The sequence below is a fragment of the Homo sapiens genome, chromosome 1, assembly GCF_000001405.40.
Source record: "Homo sapiens chromosome 1, GRCh38.p14 Primary Assembly".
Taxonomy (NCBI): Eukaryota; Metazoa; Chordata; class Mammalia; order Primates; family Hominidae; genus Homo; species Homo sapiens.
This window is the reverse complement of record NC_000001.11, coordinates 202809417-202827559: the sequence shown is the minus strand read 5'-3', so window position 1 is coordinate 202827559 and position 18143 is coordinate 202809417. Positions and strand designations below refer to the sequence as shown.

Below are 18143 nucleotides of genomic sequence, written 5' to 3'. Positions count from 1 at the left end.
ACACACCTGTGTATATCTTACTCCCATAAAAACCCTCTTCACAGATAGGAGCTTTTTTTGTGCCTGGCATGTAGTAGGCACTCAATAAATATCTGATGAGTCCCAGAAGTAAAGGAAGAGGACAATTTTGAGAAGGAAGACATAATTAGAACTGTGTATTGCTGCAGAAAGTTAGGGAGAATGAGATCTGAAAAAGTCACTGGGTTTTGACTATTCTCGTCATGACAAATAGGGAAGAGTTTCAGTAGCATTGTGGATGCAGAGGCCAGTGTGGACACAGAAACCAGAGTTAAGGAATGAATTGCTGATGAGTGAAGCTTTAGTTACAAACTTTTTTTTTTTTTTTTTGGAGACAGGGTCTTACGCTGTTGCCCAGGCTGGAGTGTAATGGCATAATCATGGCTCACTGCAGCCTCAACCTCCTGGGCTCAAGTGATCCTCCTGCCTCAGCCTCCTGAGTAGCTAGGACCACAGGCACATGCCACCACAACCTGGCTAACTTTTTAATTTTTTGTGGAGACAGGGTCTTGCCGTGTTGCCTAGGTTGGTCTTGAACTGCTGGCCTCAAGAGATCCTCCCACCTCAGCCTCCTAAGGGAGGCTGCAATTACTGGCATGAGCCACCATACCCAGCCTAGTTAAAACCTATTTGTGCCCAAGTTTGTTGGGGAGGAAAGGAGGGAACTAGATTGGCACTGTGAAACAGCTTCAATAATAGAGCTAAGGGATTCGTTTTATTGCTATTTGTCCATCTGCTACTTTCCTGCACTTCGGAGATTTTAACTTCTAATGAGAGTCCCTTTCATGGCTTTTTATGATGTCAATTCTAGGGATTCAGCCGTGATTTTCCTGCCTGCCCTCCTGTGACCACATACCTCATCCCCACCTCTGCCTCCGTGTGAACATAGAAGTGCATACATGCACACGCATGTATACACAGGGACACCTTGATTTGGGCTGATCTCAGCATCCCAGGTATCTAAATATTTTGGGAGTGACCAAAACTCTCCCCAAATTCGGATAAGCTATATATGCCACAGCAAAAGATATCCTATGAGAGTTGTTTGGATAGAAAGGAAGCAACAAGTCTCCTGACATCTTGGCGGCACCAACAGACTGATAGTCTTCTCTGTCTGCCCTTCATTCCATTGTGTCTCCCCTATGTCACTCATATAGACTAGAATGAAGTGGCTTTAAGATTTTAATTTTTCATCCCCCTACTGATTTATCTTCAGCATTGATCCACTTGCTATTTGTCATTTTTCTCCCAGAGGTAGATATGCCTGATCATGAGCCCCCCAGCCTGACCAGCTTTCACCACCAGCCTCACACAGCTCACGTGGTACCCCATACCTTTCAGAAGTATCTTCTGATCCATCTGCCCCTCCGAAAGATGTCCCAGCAAGGCGAAGCTGGTGCAGTGCTGCGGCACCCCCTCAGGTTGGTAGCCCAGCTCCACCTGCCCCTTCTCCAGGGCGTACCTCCCATTCCACAATGGAGCCCGTCATCACTTGCACCCTGCTCAGGTTTGCTGGATGGTTCAGAATCACTGTCAGGTGGTTTCCTATACTAATGTTGTGTGTCCAAAAGAATGACTCATCCAGAGTGTAGGCCTCCCAGGGGAAATGCACATCGGAAACCTGCATATCAGTGAAGACAGCTCCAGGCGGGTTGTTGGGACCATCGGCATTCTTTTTCTGAAGTGCTGTGGCCTTCTGCTTGTGATCAAAGGCAGTGTAGGAGACCCTGCAGTAGAATAGGAAAGGTCTGCAGAGGATTGGGCTTTCCTGGACCAGGAGCGTATGGAAATGAGAAATCAGGCTGTCAAGGGGTTTCTCCTTGTAGAAGAGAAGGAGGAAATGGGCCAGGAGTGGGAGGTCCCTGCTGTGGAAGAGTTTGCCAAGGAAGCCCATATTGGAGAACTCCATTAGCACCCACGAGTTGGACTTCATGGTGGTCACCCTTGAATGAATGTGGGTGACAAAGTTGGGGGCAAAAAAGACATTGTCCTCTATTAACAGGAAGTAATCAGAGAACTTTGTGGCAAAGCTCATGAGGAAGGCATGATCTACGTTCTGCTTGGAGTAGAATTCGCCATGAAAGGCCTCATCCCTGATGCTCTCCACAGTGGGGTAGGCATCGGATGAAGCATGGATCAGTAGCAACTGCCCTTTCAAGATCTGTGGGCTGAAGAGGCTTGAAATATGGGCAAGAGTTTCTCTGAGCCAGGTGAGGTCAGAATCTGCCAGGTGGACCAGCACCGTGAGACGTTTCTGCTCAGCCTTAGAAGAAACACGGAACAGGGAGACCAATGTGTACAAGAGGCTGCTTCCATCCCCTTGCTGCACTGATGAGATTCCCCACTGTCAGCCATGCTGAGGAGAGGTAAAAATAGGGACAACTGTCAGTGCACAGTAATAGTGACGGTTGTCAGAAGGGTTAGGGGTTGGGATCCTATGTGGGACCTTCACTCTTCCTTCCTCCCTCTTATTTCCCACCTGTTTTTCCCTTGGTGGAGGGGATGTTTACATCCTTGCTGCTCGAAGTGTGGTCCTTAGTCCAGCAACATCAGGCTGCTCTGTAAGCTCATTTCAAATACAGGATCTCGATCCCTATCTCAGATTTAATCAGAAGCTGCATTTTCACAGTATCACCAGGTAACTTGTATGCACAGTAAAGTTTGAGAAGTACTAAGCTAGGTGATGCTGAGTGTCTGTGGGTTCTGCTCAGTCTTCTTTGAGCCTAGAACTTTGTGGCGTATGGTTTAGGGGCTCAATAAATGTTAGCTATTATAATAGTTATAATTGTTGTCAATTATATTATTATATTGTTGTCAATTGTTGTCGTCTTCCCAAAGCTGCCCTTTGAAGGAGGTATATTAGGAAAAGGACTTCCCCTGGAAGTCAGGAGCCTGGAGTTTTTGTCCCAGTTCTGCCACTGATTGTGTGATCTTGAGCAAGTCCCTTCAGCCCTGAGTTTAGTTCCTGATCCATAAACTGGGGGAGTTGGACTATGCGACTCTAAGACCCCTTCTGATCCAAATGTTCTCTAATCTAGTGATTCCACCTTCTTATAGCAATTAACTTTAGTAACTGGCCAAGAAGGGAAAAAAAGAAAAGTAGTAGCCAACTTTATCTTTTTCCTCCTTCCTCCTCATACTGCTGATATATAAATATTTGCCTTGGGGAAGGAGGAGAGAATTAACTGCCAGATTCTTTTTTTTTTTTTTTTTTGAGAAGGAGTCTCACTCTGTTGCCCAGGCTGGAGTGCAATGGTGCGATCTTGGCTTACTGCTACCACCGCCTCCCAGGTTCAAGCGATTCTCCTGCCTCAGCTTCCTGAGTAGCTGGGATTACAGATGTCCCCCACTGTGCCCAGCTAATTTTTGTATTTTTAGTAGAGATGGGATTTCACCATCTTGGCCAGGCTGGTCTCGAACTCCTGACTTCGTGATCCACCCACCTAGGCCTCCCAAAGTGCTGGGATTACAGGCATGAGCCACCACACTTGGCCATTGTCTGCCGGATTCTAATATTCCTGGGCACAGTCTGTTTTTCTCCTTCCCTCTTCTGCTTTCCTTCCTATCTGCCTGATCTCTCTGGCTGTCCCTACTTCCCCTGGGATGCTGAATTCCTCCTTCTTGTTGGTACTCACTCTTTCTTCTCTTCTGGATTTTTTCCATATATTTGAAGGTGAGGTTCTGCCAGTCTTCTAGTGATCTTGGGTCCTTCCGGCTGTTATAACTGGCCTCCGGGGGCATTGACAAGGGCAAACATATATATCCTTTCATAAAAAGAACAAATTTTACACCCCAGTGGCTTCCCATAAGCTTTTCTAGGGAAAGAGGTGGAGTGAACCATTCTCCCTAGAGTGAGCCTGGCACATTCTCAGGATGCCTGGCCATTGGCTAAAATATCCAGGGCTCAAGCAGTATTTGCTGTCTTCTTTACCTTAACGAATAAGGAAAATAAATACAGCTTCTTCATGGACTAATAGGCCCAGGTCCATACCCCCATTCCCTTTGGAGCTTCCTGCTCTCAGGTGAAAAGGTCAGGAAGGAAGAAAGCCCAGGGGCTTTCCAGAATCTGCCTGTCCACACCATTTCCACCCTATATTCCCAGTTCCCAAACTGAGCAAGGCTCAAGGCTTGCTACTTGGCCTTTGACAGTCATCACATTTTGATCATCTTCAGTTTCCTTGGGGATTTTCAAAGTGATGAAGGGCCACAGGAATACGATGCCCACTGAGAGTATGAAGCATTTCCTGATGGAACACCGCATCGCGTCTGCGTCAGGATACGGTTCCTATAGCAAGAAGTCAACGTGTACAGCTGGAGGACTCTCTCCCTCCAGTCCATGCCTAGAACTTCCCTTCTGCCCTCTGGAAGGCTTCTCCACTTGTATTAACCACCCCATGTCTGCCCCCATATTCTATCTTTCCTCATTGTTAACTTATTTCCAAGATCTCAGTTCCCTATGACCTCCGCCTCCTGGGTTCAAGCGATTCTCCCGCCTCAGCCTCCCGAGTAGCTGGGATTACAGGCACGCACCACTGCGCCTGGCTAATTTTTGTATTTTTAGTAGAGACGGGGTTTTACCATGTTGGCCAGGCTGGTCTCGAACTCCTGACCTCAAGTGATCTGCCCGCCTCAGCCTCCCAAAGTGCTGGGATTACAGGCATGAACCACTGTGCCTGCCATCCAAGCACACCCTTTTATCTAATCTAGGAACCTGATACAATAGAGCCTTATTCCCTGCTAAAGAAGGAAGATCACATGTCCCGTGATGATATTTGTTGCATTCACTTCATATGCTTGGAGATTCAACTTCCCCAAAGTCTCCCCTACTCAAAATGATGAAGGTTGGCTGAAGCTTTAGTGATACAGTCAATTTTTTTTTTTTGAGACGGAATCTCACTCTGTTGCCCAGGCTGGAGTGCTGTGGCACAGCATCAGCTCACTGCAAGCTCCACCTCCCGGGTTCACGCCATTCTCCTGCCTCAGCCTCCCGAGTAGCTGGGACTACAGGTGCCCACCACCATGCCTGGCTAATTTTTGTATTTTCAGTAGAGACGGAGTTTCACCTTGTTAGCCAGGATGGTCTCGATCTCCTGACCTCATGATCCGCCCGCCTCGGCCTCCCAAAGTGCTGGGTTTACAGACGTGAGCCACCGTGCCTGGCTGATACAGTCAATTTATCTGAGTAAACAGATGGCCATTGTACTTTCCTTACCCCTGCTTTTTTACTTTATTTTTTGAGACAAGGCCTCGCTCTGTTGCTGAGACTGGAGTGCAGTGGCGTGATCATGGCTCACAGCAGCCTTGACCTTTCGGGCTCAAACGATCCTCCCACCTCAGCCTCCCAAGTAGCGGGGATGACAGACGCACACCACCACACCCAGCTAATTAAAAAAAAAAATTTTTTTTTGTAGAGATAGGCTCTCCCTGTGTTGCCCAGGGTCATCTTGAATGCCTGGGGTCACGTGATCTTCCTGTATCAGCCTCTGAAAGTGCTGGGATTACCGGCGTGAGCCACCACACCCTGCCTCCCACATTTTTAAAAACCAAATCAAACTATTAAAACAACTAAACCTGAAGTGTTGCCAAATGCCATGCCAAATTGGTGTCTTTCACTTTTTTTCATAAAGAGTATCCTTAATTTATTCACAGACCTTGATTAGAACATGATTCTGTTAACTTAGAGTAAAAAAAAAAAAATCCTTTCCTGCATGTTGGGTTATTGGAATTCAGGCTGGCTCAGCCTCAGAAGTGCTTGTATGCTGCTCTCTTCCTCTGTGAGTGTTTTTTCTCTAGTGAGATGTGTTTCTCTGATTGCTTCAAGATTATCAGAGGAAAGGCTTTAACATGCCTTCTCACCCCTTCTTGATTCTTTCCCTGTGTGATCAGTACACAAAAGAAAAGCTGTAGTCAGTGATTTCTGTGCTCCTGAGGCCATACTGTTCTCTAATCTTCCCCATTCCAGGGATGCCTTCCAGTTTAGTATTTTGGTAGAGGTTAACATGCTTTTCTCCCTTAGCCACTTCGCTTTTTGATGAGTTATAAAAGTAGGCTGGGCACAGTGGCTCACGTCTGGAATCCCAGCTCTTTGGGAGGCTGAGGCAGGAGGATTGCTTGAGCCCAGTAGTACTGAGACCAGCCTGGGCAACACAGGGAGAGCTCCACCTCTGTTTAAGAAAAACAAATAATAACAATAATACTTATATCTCCAGGTAATCACAGTGATGAGGAAAAAAAAATCTTATAGTAGTAAGGCTTTACAGATTAAACTTTTCTTACTTGGCTTCCTTTAGGAAAGACTTTTAGTCCCATAGGTGATTCACATACAAACCTCTTCATGTAAAAGAAATAGGCCTCTCTTCTCTAGACCATAAATGTGTGCGTGTGTGTGTGTGTGTGTGTGTGTGTGTGTGTGTATACACCGCTGGGCATGGTAGCTTACGCCTGTAATCCCAGCACTTTGGGAAGGCGAGGCAGGTGGATCACCTGAGGTCAGGAGTTCGAGACCAGCCTGGCCAACATCACGAAACCCCTTCTCTACTAAAAATACAAGAATTAGCCAGGCATGGTGGCATGTGCCTGTAATCCCAGCTATTCAGGAGGCTGAGGCAGGAGAATCACTTGAACCTGGGAGGCGGAGGTTGCAGTGAGCCGAGATTGTGTTACTGTACTCCAGCCTGGGCAACAGAGCAAGACTCCACCTCAGGGGAAAAAAAAAAGGGGTGGGGGCTTTTGGGCCAGGCGAGGTGGGACTTGGATAAAGATCACCCAGTGAAAGTGTGTGGGCACTCAGGCCTTCAATCCCAGCATTTCAGGAGGCCAAAGCAGGAGGATCACTTGAGGCCAGGAGTTGGAGACCAGCCTGGGCAACATAGTGAGACCCCGTCTCTACAAAAAGTAAAATTAGCCAGGTGTAGTGGCACATGCCTGAAGTCCCAGCTACTCGGGAGGCTGAGGTGGGAGGATCGCCTTAGCCTAGTAGGTCGAGGCTGCAGTGAGCTGAGATTGTGCCACTGCACTCCATCCAACCTAGGGGAGAGTGAGACCCTCTCTGTCTCTCTCTCTCAAAAAAAAAAAAAGGCTTTAGGCAGGGAATAAGGCTCTAATTGCAGTTAAAGGGTTTCACCACCACAGGCATAGCTCTGTTCCCCTTTGGTACCTCCCGTGTAGTTTCCCAGTCACGGAGGGAAGACTGCTGTCATTCAGCCCTTTGAGTTCAACAGACTTCTGGAAAAGGCAGGAGACAGAAAAACAAAAAGGAGCTGGGGTGATAAGGACCAGTCACTCTAGGAGTAATGAACAGAGGGTGAGGCCAGGCACAGCAAACAAAGGTCTCCCCAGTTTTCTATCCTTGAGCTAAGCTCCCTCTGTGATGTTACTGTTGTGTCCTAGCCACCTACTCCCCATTGTCAGAGGAATGCACATGCAGGACTTACATGTGACCTGTTTGTGCTTCATCATTGGGAGCTATGACTTCGCATTCACCCTAAAGACCAGCATCAGTATCTTTTTAGATACTGAGCACTCACCTCCCCACCCGCACCGTGTCCCCTACTTCCTTATGTATCTCCTACATTCTCTCCTTCCCTCCTGTTGGTTCCACTGACGCTTAGGCTCGGACTCCTACTCCCTCTCGCCTTCCCAAGTTCTTCACCCCTGCAGTTATCCTCTTTCTCTTCTGCATGATCCACTTCCTTTCTCTTCTGCGTGATCCACTTCTCCCTTTCTACTGGACGATTCTCATCACTAGGAAAAGGAGGTTTATTATCTTCCAGCAGGAAGAAGGCAAAAAGCAAAATGCCTCCCTGAATTCGTGTTCTTTTCCAGTTCTGTGCCATTTTTCTACAACTGCACACAGCAAAGCCCCTTGAAAGTGTTGTCTTTGTTAATTAGCCTCGCTTCATTTCACATTCTCCCTTCTTATCTTACTCAACCTTTCTGCAACTTTGACTCAGTTGACCGCTACTGCCTCCTTGAAAGACTTTCTGGGGGTGCAGCCTGGTGCGGCGGCTCACACCTGTAATCCCAGCACTTTGGGAGGCCGAGGCAGGCAGATCACGAGGTCAGGAGTTTCAGAGCAGCCTGGCCAACATGGTGAAACCTCGTCTCAAAAAAAAAAACAAAAATTAGCTGGGCGCAGTGGTGCGCGCCTGTAGTCCCAGCTACTGTAGCATCGCTTAAACCTGGGAAGTGGAAGTTGCAGTGAGCCGAGATTGCACCACTGCACTCCAGCCTGGGTGACAGATCGAGACTCCGTCTCAAAAAAAAAAAAAGACTTTCTGCTCTGGCATCTCTCTTGCCACGCTGATTGGTCCCTCTCAGTTTCCTTTCTTGGCTCACTCTCTTCCCACCTTGTATATGTAGCAGTCACATAGGGCTCTCTTCTCTTCCTACACAGTTTCCCTGGGTGATTTTATCCGAGTCCCATGGCTGTAATATAGATACACACACACACACACACACACACACATATACATGAATGTGTGTATGTATGTTATCAGGTAACTCCCAAATCTTATCTCTAGCCCTGACTCTTATCTTGATCCCTATCCTGAGCTCCAGATTACCTGACTATTCAACATCTTCCATTGGATGATAAGATATCTCAACTTTAACAGAACCAAAATAAGACTACAGATTCCTCCTACCTCCCAAATCATTTCCTCCCCAAGCTTTTTCTACCCCAGTATACAGCACCACCACTCACCCAGTTAGAGAAAAAAAAAAAATCAGGGAGTTATACTTGGTGCCTCTCTCCTTGTTTTTTCTTTTACTCTTGATTTTTATATAGAGACAGGGTCTCGCTATGTTGGACAGGCTTGTCTTGAACTCCTGGCCTCAAGTGATCCTCCTGCCTTGGCCCCCAAAGTGCTGGAATTATAGGTGTGAGCCACCACACCCAGCCTTCTTTCTCCTTAATACTCCACAGTCTATTTAATCCTGCTACCTTTTCCTCCAAAATTTACCCAGAATATGACCACTTTTCAAAATCATCTTCTGAACTACTGCAACCACCTCCTAATTGATCTCTCACCTCTACCTTGATTCTTCTGCAATCTGTTGTCCACATGGCAGTCAGACAGACCTTTTCAAATTGTAAATCAAGTGATACCCACTCCCTGCCTACAATTCCCCAGTGCCTTCCCACTGCAAATAAGATGAAACCCAAATTCCTACCCATGGTGTGCAGGCTTTCACCTGATCTAGTGTTTGGTTTTTTTGTTGCTGTTTTTTGTTGTTGCTTTTTTTTTTTTTTTTTTTTGAGACAGAGTCTCGCTCTGTCGCCCAGGCTGGAGTGCAGTGGCATGATCTCCGCTCACTGCAAGCTCTGCCTCCCGGGTTCATGCCATTCTCCTGCCTCAGCCTCCTGAGTAGCTGGGACTACAGGTGCCCGCCACCACTCCCGGCTAATTTTTTTGTATTTTTAGTAGAGACGGGGTTTCACTGTGTTAGTCAGGGTGGTCTCGATTTCCTGACCTTGTGATCTGCCCACCTCGGCCTCCCAAAGTGCTGGAATTACAGGCGTGAGCCATCGCTCCCGGCCGCTGTTTGTTTGTTTTTTGAGACAGAGTCTCACTCTGTCGCCCAGCCTGGAGCGCAGTGGTGCGATCTCAGCTCACTGCAACCTCCAGCCTCCTGGATTCAAGTGATTCTTCTGTCTCAGTCTCCTGGGTAGCTGGGATTACAGGCCCCTGCCACCGCACCCGGCTAATTTTTGTATTTTTAGTAGAAACGGGGTTTAGCCATGTTAGCCAGGCTGGTCTCGAACTCTTGACCTCAAGTGACCCATCCGCCTCAGCCTCCCAAAGTGCTGGGATTACAGGCGTAAGCCACCACGCCCCCCTGATCTAGCATTTTGCCTGCTGCTTTGACCTCATCTCCCTCCCCACTCTCCAGCCTCAGGGACTTTCTTTTTCTTTTGTTTTTCTTGGTATGTCCATCGGACATACCAAGCTGTTTCGTGACTCAGGGTCTTTGCACATGCTGTTCCTCTTTAAAATTTTTTTCTATTTTTTTTTTAATTTTACAATATCTTCATGACATTCAATGTTCTTCTTAGAACTCTCTACTATAGATTTTCCAATAGCTGCTTTCTTCCTAACATTCAGATCTGAGCTCTGATGTTCTCTTTGCTGCCTTGGATCACTGTGGCTAACAGCGCTTGCCACCCCTCCCATTCCAGCCTCCCAGTAGTTTTATCATGTATTCTGTTTTTCTCATCATTTATTTCATTGTTTTGTTTTGTTTTTGAGACAGAGCCTCACTCTGTTGCCCAGGCTGGAGTGCAATGGCACGATCTTGGCTCACTGCAACCTCTGCCTCCAGGGTTCAAGAGATTCTCCTGCCCCAGCCTTCTGAGTAGCTGGGATTACAGGCATGCGCCACCACACCTGGCTAATTTGTGTATTTTTAGTAGAGACAGGGTTTTGCCATGTTGGCTGGGCTGGTCTCGAACTCCTGACCTCAAGTGATCCGCCCGCCTTGGCCTCCCAAAGTGCTGGAATTACAGGCGCGAACCACTGCGCTTGGCCTCTCAGCATTTATTTCTACCAGAAGCTAACTTACTTCTTTGTGTGTGTGTTTATTGTCTGTCTCCATCCACTAGATTAGAATATAAGCCCTTAAAGGGCAGGGACTTTGTTTGATTCAGTGCTGTATCCATAGCACTCTGCATAAAACCTGATCCAGAGAACATGCTAAACAAGTATTTATTAACTTGCCAATTATAGGGACTACATGATAATGGTGAATGGTCATCTTTCTTCAACAAACACTATGCTAGGTGCTAGGGGCACAGCGGTGTCAGTCAGGGGGACTGGGCAGTACTCCAGAGAAGGGCAGTATATGGGTGATGGTTAAGCGCTCAGATTCGGGACTCAGACAGCCAGAGCTGGAATCTGGTTCTGCAAGACTTATTGTCCATGTGACCTTGGCCAAATGACAGCCTCTCTGAACCCCAGTTCCTCATCTATAAAATGGAGATAAAAACGATGGCTACCCAGGACAGGGCTGGGCTAACAAAAAATAAATAAAAATAAAAATAAATGATGGCTACTTTCAAGAGTTCTTACGAGGATCAAAAGAGATCATCCTATATAAATAGTTATTATTTTTAAAAACAGAAAAAAGAGAGTATCCACATAAACATTCTTGGCTTATAGCAAGCACTCAATAAATGTTAGCTGTTTCTGTAAGGAATGATTACCATCTTCAACCATGGAGACCAGCACTGCTTGCTTTCCCATTATACCTGAGAGGTCCATCTTCCCTTATTCCTAAATCCTCATCCCAGTTTTTTTTCTTTTAGATTTTCACACAGATGCACAACACTCTGAGAACCTTTCTGTATCTTGCCATCTGATTCCCACTTTTCTAAGGGATTTAGAGGAGGCAAAAAATAGAGAAGGAGAAATAAATATTAAAAAGCCCTGACACCCCACCCAGGTTCCTCATCCACATTGCAGTTAGGGGTGGCCATCCATGACAGTGTGCCTGTTGCCAGTGTGTGTTCCAGGAGTGGGCTCTGCACTTTGCTGGAAGCCAGAGTTCTCCTTTAAGCCTAAGAGCATGAGCTAGACCCATAGGGTAGGGATGGGCCAGGAGCTCACCTCCATTCCAGCATTTATCTCTGGGTACCGTAGCTAATGCTCCCTTGGCAACCATTGTTTTTTCTGAAGGGCAAGAATCTCATCATCCCACTAGTCTCTTCTGGCAGGTGGAGAAGGGGCGTGGCCACAGGCATGTGTAATTGGCCCACACACTGTTTCTTAAAAATCTGATGAAAGATTGAACATTTAAGAATTGGAGGCTGGGTGCAGTGGCTCACGCCTGTAATCCCAGCACTTTGGGAGGCCGAGGTGGGTGGATCATGAGGTCAGGAGTTTGAGACCAGCCTGACCAATATGGTGAAACACTGTCTCTAATAAAAATATAAAAAATTAGCTGGGTGCGGTGGCACGTGCCTGTAGTCCCAGTTACTTGGGAGGCTGAGGCAGGAGAATAGCTTGAATCTGGGAGGCAGAGGTCGCAGTGAGCTGAGATCGTGTCACTGCACTCCAGCCAGGGGGGAAAAAAAAAAAGAATTAGGAGAGCTGAACAGGCGTGGCTCACGCCTGTAATCCCAGCACTTCGGGAGGCCGAGGTGGTCGGATCACTTGAGGCCAAGAGTTTGAGACCAGCCTGGTCGACATGGCAAAACCCTGTCTCTACTAAAAATGAAAAATTAGTCAGGCGTGGTAGCACATGCCTGTAATCCCATCTGCTTGGAAAGACAAGGCAGGAGAATTGTTTGAGCCCGGAAGGTGGAGTTTATAGTGAGATGAGATCATGCCACTGCAATCCAGTCTGGGTGACAGAAGGAGACTCTGTCTCAAACAAAAATCAAACAAACAAACAAAAACTGGGAGAGCTTTTATATAAAAGCCTAAATAACTGGCTTCTCTTGAAAAATGGAAACGTGGTGCAACCCTGGTCTGAGCAGTGATGGCCCCCAGTAGCTGGACTTGCATTCTCACCTCTCCACAGACTTCACTTTGTTCACCTCCCCCATGTACCTGTCTGGCTTCTACACAGGCATTTGAGTTTTTAACTCTTGCTTTCACTCAGGTCTTGAGAGGTTCGAAGACTCTATGCTATTTCTTGGTCTTAGATGTGGCACCTGTTTAGCATAGGGTGCTATAAAGATAAGGCACAAAGTGATCCCTGGGGTTGAAGGGCTGTGGGTAGAGATAGAAGGAAAATGTGGCTAGGCAGGGTGGCAGATTATACACCTGTAATCCCAGTACTTTGGGTGGCTGAGTCAGGCAGATCACCTGAGTCAGGCAGATCACCTGAGGTCAGGAGTTCAAGACCAGACTGGCCAACATGGTGAAACCCCATCTCTACTAAAAATACAAAAATTAGCCGGGCGTTTTGGCCTGTGCCTGTAGTCCCAGCTACTCGGGAGGCTGATGCAGGAGGATCTCTTGAACCCAAGAAGTAGAGGTTGCAGTGAGATCGCGCCACTGCACTCCAGCCTGGGTGACAGAGGGAGACTCTGTCTCAAAAATAAATAAATAAATAAATACAGACCAGTGAATAAAATAAATGGTGAAAAATAAATGGAAGAGAAAAGATATAATTATTGATTTTGTATATGATGTAGACGATATTCTGGGAAAATTCCATTGTTCATGGGGAATATAGAGGGAGTGACTGAAATTAAGATTATTGTTTTTTTTTAAATTATTTTATTTTATTTTTGAGACAGAGTCTCTCTCTGTCACCCAGGCTGGAGTGCAGTGGCGCAATCTCGGCTCACTGCGAGATTCGCCTCCCGGGTTCATGCCATTCTCCTGCCTCAGCCTCCGCAGCAGGTGGGACTACAGGCACTGGCCACCATGGCTGGCTAATTTTTTGTATTTTTAGTAGAGACGGGGTTTCACTGTGTGAGCCAGGATGGTCTCAATCTCCTGATCTTGTGATCTGCCTGCCTCGGCCTCCCAAAGTGCTGGGATTACAGGCATGAGCCACCGTGCCGGCCGATTATTGTTACTTTTTAGAGACAGGGTCTTGCTTTGTCACCCAGGCTGGAGTGCAGTGGCACAATCATAGCTCACTGCAGCCTCAAACTCCTGGGCTCAAGGGATCCTCCCACCTCAGCCTCCCAAGTAGCTAGAACCACAGGTGTGTGCCACCACACGTGGCTATTTTTTTTCTTTTGGAGACGGAGTCTTGCTCTGTCGCCCAGGTTGGAATGCAGTGGTGCGATCTCAGCTCACTGCAGCTCTGCCTCCTGGGTTCAAGCAATTCTCCTGCCTCAGCCTCCTGGGTAACTGGGACTACAGGCACACGCCACCACACCAGGCTAATTTTTGTATTTTTAGTAGAGACGGGGTTTCACCATGTTGGCCAGGATGGTCTTGATCTCCTGACCTCATGATCTGCCCGCCTTGGCCTCCCAAAATGTTGGGATTACAGGCATGAGCCACCGTGCCTGGCCATACAAAGGTAATATTGTTTTGTGAAACTTTTGTTGCTATTGCTATGTACAAAAAAATACTGGAGATAAGTCAAAGTTTGAAGCCACTGTAGTCTAGAGGGGAGAGAATGGTTCGATGTTGGCAGATTAAGGGGCAGCTGGTGGTGAGATCTGAGATGAAGCTTCTGTGTCCTCTTTCTTCAGCTTTAGAAGTCAGTTTGGTGTTTTGGGAAGATCAAAGTTAGGTACTAGGATGAACATTCTTTTCCTAGCTCTGCTATTACTGTCTGTGTGATTTTTGGCTAATTAACCTTTCTGAGTCTCAATTTCTCCATCTGAAAAATGGTAACACTAATACCACTCATTTCACAGGGCTGATGTTCTATGATTTGCTCCCGGCTAATGGCCTTGTCTTATTCATGTTATTACAGTATTTCTAGTGGTTCCCCTATCCCCGCTTCCTGCCAGGAAAGAGGAAAAAGGGAATTCACCTGTAGCATTTAGTGTGTCAGACGCTGTGCTGGGCACTCAGCATGATTTGGTTGAACATGGAATTCCAAATTCCCAGTTTCAACTGGGAATTTACAGTGGTGGTCTGTAAAGTGCTGACACAGTGTTGCAGCAGTTTTCATTCTATTGTTAAGACTTTCATCCAAGATGCAGGCAATTCCAAACATTCCAGCTATCCAAGGCCATTGAGCATGCTGCCAGGGGCCCCTCAGCCCAGAGACCCAAATTAGGGGTGCTGGTGGTGCCACTGCGGGATGAACAGGGAACATGAGTTTCCCTCTAATCCTCACAGCTTCTCTAAGCAGCTCACAGGATTGCTCCTTGGGAGTCCAGGGCTTCTCAAGTTGCCCAACTGGAATGGGAAGAAACACGCCCTGAAGCCCTGGTGTGGCTAACTTTGCCCCTCCCAATCCCCGTGGGCAGGGCTGGCAGCACCGTGGGAATGTTCCACTTGTCAGCGCCTGACCCCCACAAGGGTCTAGCCCTTTGAGCCCCACACCCAGGTAAACCAAAGCCCAGGACTGAGGGTGCAGTTACCCTGGATCTCAGTTGGGCTGAGTCATCAGAGAGGGATTCCAGGACAGGAGAGGAAGAGCAGATGGGAGGAGGAAGAGGTATTTATTAGTTACCAGGTGGCTCCCAGGACCCAGACCCAGCTTCCCAAGAACAGAAACCCAGAAATGAGCGCCTGGTCAAGGTGTAAGCTGTTCCCCAAGGGCAGCCCCGACAGCTGGGGCTAAAGCAGAACAGTGAGCACAGAAGTCCACCATAAGGGACCAGCTCAGCAGTAGACGATAGCATAGGAGGGGTTGCTGGTTCCCGGGAATTAAGCAGGGCAGGGAATGGGGGAGGATGGGTTTATCTCACCTGTGGTGCCCACCCATTGTGGAGGCTCCCTCAACACCGTTCTGAGCCTCCTTCCTGCTTCATGTGGTCAACCAGATTCTTCTTTGTCCAGCCCAAAGCTCCATCCTCAGCCAATGGTAGCCACAGAAACTCAAGGCCATTTACCCTCCCTTTCAACAAATATTTGTGGAGCGTGTGCCACGTGCCTGGTGCCAAGGAGAGAGACATTACTTCTTCCCTCTAGAGGCTTACAATCTGGCAGGAGAGGAATATGTATGGGGAGAGTGCAGGGACACCGCGGAAAAAAGACAAATACTGAGTTATAAGTGTTGTAATAGGGGGTAGTAACAAGACGTTGTAGGACTACACAAAATAAAACAAGGAGGCCAAATCGCAAGCGTTTGTGGGTTTCACAGGGGACATCTGACAGCAAACATTCCAGGGCACCGAGAGATGGTGAGGAGAGATGATGGCATTGAATTGGAGAGATGAGCTGAGATGGACTGCGCAGAGGACGAGGGAAAGCCGGTGCACTGGAGACTGGGGGAGACGAGAGGATCCACCGGGTTGGGAGGGGAAGGGTGGTGGTAGAAGCACGAGCAAGGCAGAGACCGGAGGCCAGGGCGGAAGGGAGGCTCACGGACACCTGGAGCCCTGAAAAGTTGTCAGAGGCGGCGAGGGGGTGGGGAGCGGACCCTACACGTGCGCTACGTGCTGCGCCGGCCGCTGGGGAGCCCGGTCTGCCCCCCTCATCCCAGAACCCGGTCCCAGGGCAGTTGCACGGCGCCCAGGGGGAGGGGAGGGAGGAAGTCCCCCCAAGTTTGCAACCCGGCAGCGTGGTCTTCGCAACGCGGTTACCGGAAGGAACGCGAGGAGCGCCTCATCACCAGGCGGGTGTATCTAGGGGCGAAGGCTGCAGATCTGGGGCGCAGGCTGGAAAGTGGGGTGCAGCCGGTTGACGTGAGGTCTGGGAGTTGGATGGACCGAATGAGGATGGAGACACCTAGGGATGTGTCCGAAGGATCTGGCGCTGCACAAATGAGGGCGGTTTGGGGGACGGAGGCCCGGGCGGGGGCGGAGTGTTGTCCAAGAGTAAGGAGGGGGTTCCTGGAGACGTGGCACTCGGAGCGGGGCTGGGTTCCGCTCCGGCCGCCTGGGCTGCAGCTCCGCTATGGCCTAGGAACCCGAACCTGACCCCGCCTAGGCCTCGCACCCAGCCCTCTGGGAGCTCCGGCCCCGGCACCTCCAGGCTGGGGTTGCCCAGGTCCGGCCTCTGGGGCGTCCAGCCGGCCCTAGACGAGACAATGCGGCCCGGGCCCCGCCCCCGGAGGATGACGCGCCCGGCTGCCGGCCAGTCAGCGCCCGTGGCTAGGCTCTTTAAAAAAAGAAGGGCCGGCGCGGTGTGGCTGTCAGCTGGGAGGGATCCCTCCGCCCATGTAAACATCATAAAGGGCAAGGGGAGCGTCTGTTGTGGGCGGGGGAGCGGCTGCCTTCCCGGAGAGTCCTCTCGGTCCCTAGGTTCCCCTCAAGACGCCGGCAACCGCCCCGTCCCTTAACGTCACACCGGGTCTGCTGGGAGCCAAACAGCTGCGGCCTGATCTGGGAGCGATAGAATCTCATCACTTAGGGTCACTACCGGAAATGGAGGAAGCCGGACTGGGAGACCTTGAGAGTTGGGAGCGAGAGGGAATCGTAGGACGCAGCTGAGAATTGGGAAAGATTTTCTTAGGCTTGTTCTTCCTGTCCATCTCAGTTAAATAATAATCATAACTCATGTAAGTCTAGAATTTGTCTCAAAGTTATGCCTACCTGGCTCGTAGGATGCCAACGTTAGGAGTGAAAATAGTCAACGCTCTCCCGAGAGAGCACATGACACTACATGAGCTTCATCAAGACCCTCGGAGGCCCAGAATGCGCACCAAAGAGCCATCGACGATAATTCTTCTACCCAACTTTTATTTAGTATTATTAAATATTCAGTAAAGTTAAAAGAAATTTGCATCAAATTCCTCTATACCCACTACCTAGATTCTATTATAACTTGCCACATCGCATATCTATCTTGCACTGATAATTCTTTTAATAGTGTATTAGCTGTCCCCTGGGCTTGACTCTCCATTGCAGTAGGGAGCAGGAAAAGACTCCAGGTCCCAAAGCCCTGGAGAGCTAAGAAAAGGAATACGTTCTCCCAGGACCACTGTGAACTCTTTCCTGGGCCCGGTACCTCTGGGAAAAATTTGTTGAAGGGAAGGCGGTTTTCTTCTCCCCCCACGCCCATCCCCCCTTTTAATTGAAGACTTCTTAAGCATAAGAGATTTCCTTCCACTAGGTGAATCTGAAAGCGAACTAAGATCTTGACAAACATTCCTTGCATACGTTTGGCAGCTTTCTGGATGAAAGAGGTCATTTCAATGTTGACGTTCTACTTTTTGAGCTTCCTCCTTTTTTCTGAGGCTGCTGGACACTACCCCCCCACCCCCGTCCCCCGTCTCCCGCCAAAAGAAAAAAGGCGCCTCAAAAGTGTTCGTATCTCTTAAAGTTCGTTAACCTCTTTGCCTCCGTTGCCTGCTCTGCAAAATGAGGATAATATCGTACCTACTCAATATGGTGGTTGTGAAGACTCAGTGAGCTAATACATGCAGAGCGTTTAGAGCAGTGCTTTACACACAGTAGCATTAAATAGCGGCTATCACCCATAAGCACATAACTCCCAGATTTATATCTCCAATTCTGATCTCGCCCCTTCAGATTTATACCCTTCAGTCTGTTGAAGGATACCCCGTTGTGTATTTCTACCTGTATGTACCAGAGA

At 48.4% G+C, this 18143-nt stretch overlaps 1 protein-coding gene, 1 long non-coding RNA gene and 1 pseudogene across 4 annotated transcripts, besides 1 other annotated feature; 1 reads left to right on the top strand and 2 right to left on the bottom strand.

Annotated features, from left to right (window-relative positions):
• Positions 1-334: 334 nt before the first annotated feature.
• MGAT4EP (MGAT4 family member E, pseudogene) lies at positions 335-7303 on the bottom strand (annotated as a pseudogene). The gene is made up of 3 exons (NR_038135.2): positions 7175-7303; positions 3654-4303; positions 335-2374 (listed from the first exon to the last, which is right to left on the bottom strand). The product of NR_038135.2 is annotated as an MGAT4 family member E, pseudogene (transcript).
• LOC124904583 (uncharacterized) lies at positions 1625-17322 on the top strand. Its single transcript, XM_047439549.1, has 3 exons — positions 1625-1735; positions 2021-2131; positions 16001-17322. Exons 1-3 carry the CDS (start codon positions 1625-1627, stop codon positions 16523-16525), a joined length of 747 nt encoding a protein of 248 aa, XP_047295505.1. The 3' UTR covers positions 16526-17322.
• PCAT6 (prostate cancer associated transcript 6) lies at positions 15648-16606 on the bottom strand. 2 transcript variants are annotated; one of them, NR_046325.2, is made up of 2 exons: positions 16190-16606; positions 15648-15985 (listed from the first exon to the last, which is right to left on the bottom strand). It is a non-coding gene; the product is annotated as a prostate cancer associated transcript 6 (long non-coding RNA). The 2 variants fall into 2 exon arrangements; NR_046326.2 differs by having other exon boundaries at positions 15648-15871.
• Positions 16510-16739: a silencer, noted in NCBI's record as "silent region_1707". NCBI's record gives its function as "represses an Ori minimal core promoter by ATAC-STARR-seq in GM12878 lymphoblastoid cells {active_cell/tissue: GM12878}" and the evidence as "EXISTENCE:reporter gene assay evidence [ECO:0000049][PMID:35858748]".

What these genes read in the sequence shown, in the direction of transcription:
- LOC124904583 (XM_047439549.1), top strand. Translation starts at nt 1,625, where the DNA reads ATGCACATCGGAAACCTGCATATCAGTGAAGACAGCTCCAGGCGGGTT. An exon ending in TGCTTGTGATCAAAGGCAGT is followed by an intron (nt 1,736 to 2,020) that starts GTAGGAGACCCT and finishes CTCTATTAACAG; the next exon opens with GAAGTAATCAGAGAACTTTG. An exon ending in CTGATGCTCTCCACAGTGGG is followed by an intron (nt 2,132 to 16,000) that starts GTAGGCATCGGA and finishes AAAAGTTGTCAG; the next exon opens with AGGCGGCGAGGGGGTGGGGA.